This window comes from Homo sapiens, chromosome 11, assembly GCF_000001405.40.
Source record: "Homo sapiens chromosome 11, GRCh38.p14 Primary Assembly".
NCBI classification, from domain to species: domain Eukaryota; kingdom Metazoa; phylum Chordata; class Mammalia; order Primates; family Hominidae; genus Homo; species Homo sapiens.
The window spans coordinates 48,363,642-48,369,030 of NC_000011.10; the positions used below are offsets into that span (position 1 = coordinate 48,363,642).

The window sequence follows — 5,389 nt, forward strand, 5'->3', positions numbered from 1 at the left end:
TAAAAGATAAAGTTAGTTGTGTCATTAGTCAGCATAAGCTGCATTTTGCTGTGGTAACATATGAATTCTGAACTCTCAGTGGTTTAACACATACAATTTTATTTCCTGTTCAAGCCAAATCTGCTGAGCTGTGGGTTGGGTGATCCTCTAGGGAACTGTTCTCCATGTAGTTACTCAGCAATCCAGACTGTTGCTTCTGTATAGCTGTTTCATATCAGTTTGTGTCTCCCAGGTTTGCTGCAGCAGAGAAAAATAAAGCTGGGGAGTAGCTTGCTGGCTCCTAAATGGTTATGCCTCAATGTGACATATATCACTTCTGCAAATGTGGCTCTCCTTAAAAAGGAGTGGGCTGGAAAACATAGTGGTAGCACATAGATATTTCATGACCAGAAAATGGGTTAGCCACAATTAAGAAAAACTCATCTCCTTGGAATAAATTGTTTACTAAACTGTTGAATATTAATTTGTATGTAATATATACTTAACATAAGAGTTAAGCATAGTTGTTTAGTCCTGTGGGTTAATTCAGTTCTTACGAAGGTAGAAGTGAAGTTGCTGAGATTTATAGGACTTCTGGCCTGGCTCTGGTCTAGATCTTTTTAAAAATCTGGATTATTTTTCTTAGGATTGCACTGTATCCACATCTCAAATTACTTCCCATCTCAATGGTCTGCAGCTGGGCTACAATTCTTTATTCAAATTTGAATGTGCAGAATTTCTGCCTTAATTACTCACATGTCACTAATTCTCTTTTTTTCATTTTTTGAGATGGAGTCTCACTGTGTTGCCCAGCCTGGAGTGTAGTGGCACAATCTTGGTTCACCGCATCCTCTGCTCCCCGGGTTCAAGTGATTTTCGTGCCTCAGCCTCCAGAGTAGCTGGGATTACAGGCATGGCCACCACGCCCAGCTAATTTTTCTATTTTTAGTAGAGATGGGATATTACCATGTTTGCCAGGCTGGCCTCAAACTCCTGGCCTCTAGTGATCTGCCTGCCTCTGCCTCCCAAAGTGTTGGCATTACAGGCATGAGCCACCACACCCAGCCACCAATTCTCTTTTGGGTCAGCTACTTTGTTTCTATTAGCTAAGGCACAAATCCATCCAATAAAAGCCATTTTTGAGGTGAAGTGGTGTATAGGATATTTTCGACAGAAAAAAAGTGCTTCACAAAATATCTTCTACCTGAGAAATAATGTCCAAGATTGTTCTATGATTGTACCTGGATGAATTTTCTACACCTCTTTGGCTGTAGACAGAGAAAATAATTTATTCTGGAGACAGCCAGATTATACTGTAAATGATCACCCCTGGAGTTGTGAACACAACAGCATTAATTTTGGATGAGTGCTGCTTTAACGACTCTCATTCCTCAAAACCCAATCGTTTCTCACCTATCTCTCTCTCTCACAATAATAGTTCTACTTCGATTTTATTAGTTGGGATTAAAACTATGCATTTTCAACAAAAGATTTAGCCATTAGGTCTTTTTGTTTATTTTAATTATTTGGCCTGTTAGTTATATACTCTATACCGAAGCTTTGCAGATAATTATTCTACTAAACACATAAACTCATGGGTTTTCCATACACTGTAACATTTTTATGTTGACTAGCAATGTCCCCCTGATTAATAATTTGTAAATGTGAAGAAGTTTCAAATTGGCAGAAACATTAGTCATCATTTAATCAGATATTGATCTTTTATGAAAAGGCATCATTAAAGATTCCAGAAAATGAGGGGAATAAAATATACTTAAACTCACTATTCTGACCTCAAGACCTTTACCCTTTTCATTAGTCATACCTGTTGTTAAAATATGAGTAGGTTCTGTGTTTATCTTCTCTAATCACACAAATTGTTACCCCAGATTATTTGGCTCCAGAGCTGCTTCATGGCATTTTTCACCTCTGTGTTTCTGAGGGTGTAGATTAAAGGGTTTAACATGGGTGTTACCACAGTATAAAACACAGACACAGCTTTATCAATAGGGAAGGTGATCATGGGTCGAAGGTACACCAATATACAGGGAACAAAGAATAGGACGACTACAGTGATATGGAAGGCGCAGGTAGAGAGAGCCTTCCGCTGTGAGCAGAGGATTAGGACGTAAGAGGTAATAAGAATAGAAAAAATGAGCATACACATCAGCCCACTGTTGGCGGCAACAAAGAGTCCAAAGACGTGAGTGTCAGTGCAGGAGAGTTTTAGCAGAGGGAAAAGGTCACAGATGAAATGGTCAATGACATTGGGGCCACAGAAGGGCAGCCAGACTATTAAAAGCATTTGAATCAGAGCGTGAAGAAATCCCCCGACCCATGCCATGGCCACCAGGAGGCCACATACCTGCCTGTTCATTGTGATCAGGTAGTACAGGGGCTTGCAGATGGCCACATAGCAGTCATAGGCCATCACCACGAGCAGAATGATCTCAACTCCCCCAAAGAAATGTTCTACAAAGAGCTGGGTCATGCACCCACTGAAGGAAATAGTTTTCTTTTCAGTGAGTAAGTCAAATATCATTTTGGGGGCCATGGTAGAAGAGGAGCAGCCATCTATGAAGGAAAAGAAAGACAGAAAAAAATACACGGGGGAGTCCAGGGCTGGGCTGGTGGTGATTGTCACCACAATGATTAGGTTGTCTACCATGGTGAGAAAGTAGATGAGTGTAAACACAGCAAACAAGAGTTTCTGTGCCTCTGCGTTCTGTGTCAGGCCAAGCAAGATGAATTCCGTTATGTTGTTCACTTGCTCGAAATCCAGTTTGGTATTTGGATAATTGATTTTTCTGTGAATAGCACAAGGATTGCAATTTGACACATACATTTTGAACAATAAAATAATTTTGGTCAGGATTATTTTCTGTAACACTGATGGAATCCCTAAATCTATAAACCCAAGACTAAGTTGAGCTATGTTATTCATGACATAATGAACACAGATACCTCTTCTCTCTCATACAGAGACACACACAGACACAGAAAAACACATACACACATTCATTTATGTACACAAACATGATTTTATGATGTTGACATGTCAGGCATTTTTCCTATGATTGTACATGGATGGATATTCTCTCAATCACCCTTACAGCATTTTTTTCCCCATAGAAAAACAGCAGTAAAAAGAGGAGGAGCAGAGGCTTGAATTCCTGTCAATTTCCTAGTTTCTTTTTTTTTTCGTTTTTTTTTTTTTTTTAACCACTCATGTTCATGAGGCTACGGTGCAGAGTTTGTTATTCTGGTTATTTTTAACTTGTTTCAGGGTAACTATAAAACATCAGGTGAGTTCACTTTGAAATTAAGGATGATGCCACCACATTTCAGAATCAACTGAACTGAGTGAATGTTTGAGGCTGCAGTAAGATACTCCATGGCAGTTAGATTTGAGAATTTATGCCACATCCAAACAGAATTGTCTAAGAATACAATCAAACACTTCTGGAAGCATATCCTGGAAGAGGATAAAACAGCATGATGCAAGGCAGCATTCCCCAGATGTATCTGAAACTTTAGAATTCACTTGGAGAACTGTCATGTTTAGAATTCAGGGCATTTTGCAAATCAAAACCCAATTTAAGGATGACTATGAAAAATTATATGGATCTGTTTAGAAAACATAATTTTAAGGTGAGGGAAAAAAAGCACCATAATTTATTGGACAGAGTGTTTTTTAGAATCAGATGCCTAATTTTTACATTTTATCTTCACTGACTATTAGCCACATGATATTGTGTACAGATCTTAGTCTCATTGTGCCTAAACTTTTTCATATATAAAATGGGAAAAATAACAAATGGAATGGAGGAACTAAAGAATATCATGATTAAATATATCAAGCTTTGTATCCTAAAGGTAAACCTATAGCTTACCATGTACTCCACATCTTGATAAAGAACACAAGTAAACAAAATTTTGCATATAATTATTTTTATCTTTAAGTTATTTATCATTGTAATATTAAGAGAGAAAATAAATGAACTCAGTACTCAACTCAAGGTAAATAACAAGCAATTATATTCAGAAAAAAAGGTGTAACACAGAAAGACATCAGGCAATAAAAAATTAGACTTGATAACTAAATTAAAAAGCTTTTTGATATTTTAAAAATACAAAGAAAACTGAAGAATAGAAATGAGCTCAATAAGAAACAAATATGGTAATACCACCAAAGGATATTATTTGTGAATAATATTTAGAAAGGTATTATGTGTAGCTCATAAAAGATTTTAAAATAACTAGATAGGTGTTTTTCAAAACGAAATAAGTCTCTTCTTAATGGAATCATCAAAAAAAGAAAAAAAAGAACCAAAGAAAAAGAGAAAAAAGAATAGCATGTATTAAAGACTTCAGGTAAAACATAGATCTTTTCAAAACCAAAAAAAAAATCAATATATATTTCATCTGTAGCTAAGAAAGGATATTTTAAAATAAAAATATAATGGTATAAGATACAAAACAAAACTGATGAGCTCAGCTACATAAAGGTATGGAACACCTTGGAAAAATAATTGCAACAAGTATGACAACTGTTATTATAAAAGCAGTTAACAAATTAAAATGTTTACTCACACTATTAAGGTGTGAATTAAGGTGTAAATAAGGGTAAAACTAAGAAAAGATAATTCTCAGAAAAAACATTAGACATCTAAAAAGTCCTCTTTCATAAGTTACCAAAGAAATGCAATTTTAAAACAGTAAAATACTGATGAATTGGCAAAGATTTATGATAGTTGTGTTATTCAGTGGTGGTGAATGTGTGTTGACATAAAACATTCTAGAAAGAAGTTTGACCCCTTATTATAATAAGGGTTTTGTAACTAGTTATGACCCTTGGCACAGTATTCCTTATGTTTAGAAATCTACTCTAGATAAAAAATATAGACAAAATTATGTATACAAGTTGTATTTCACAATATTTTTATACTAATAAAAAGGTAAAAAACTCCAAATATACATAAAGAGGAACAGTTAAATGAATTATAGTTATTCTATGTCAAGTGAACATTAAAGTTATTTGCAAAATAATTAATAATAATTATTTATACAAAAAAATACACTGAGAATTAATGGGGTGGAAAGAGTCTTTCAATATAATATTGAGTGGGAAATACAAAATATAAAATAGTTTATATATTATGACCCAAATTGTTTAAAATGCCATATATCCACTAAAAATATATCTGAAAAAAGTACATGAAGGATAATAATGCTTATATGAATTATGGGATTAAGGGAAATTTTAATGTTCTTTTAAAAAGTTTCTGATCTCAGTTTTCTACAGAGAGAATATATTACTTTTGTAGTCAGTAAAATAATTTAATAAAAGTTTTATTATCAAGTCAGGGTCTATAATATCCCTGGTGAATGTTTTTCTTAGTGGACTATT

General features: G+C 34.7%; 1 protein-coding gene across 1 annotated transcript; it reads right to left on the reverse strand.

The window, feature by feature from the left end:
• Positions 1–1,843: 1,843 nt before the first annotated feature.
• On the reverse strand, positions 1,844–2,824 carry OR4C5 (olfactory receptor family 4 subfamily C member 5). The gene has a single exon (NM_001348223.2). It carries the CDS (start codon positions 2,822–2,824, stop codon positions 1,844–1,846), a length of 981 nt encoding a protein of 326 aa, NP_001335152.1.
• Positions 2,825–5,389: the final 2,565 nt, after the last annotated feature.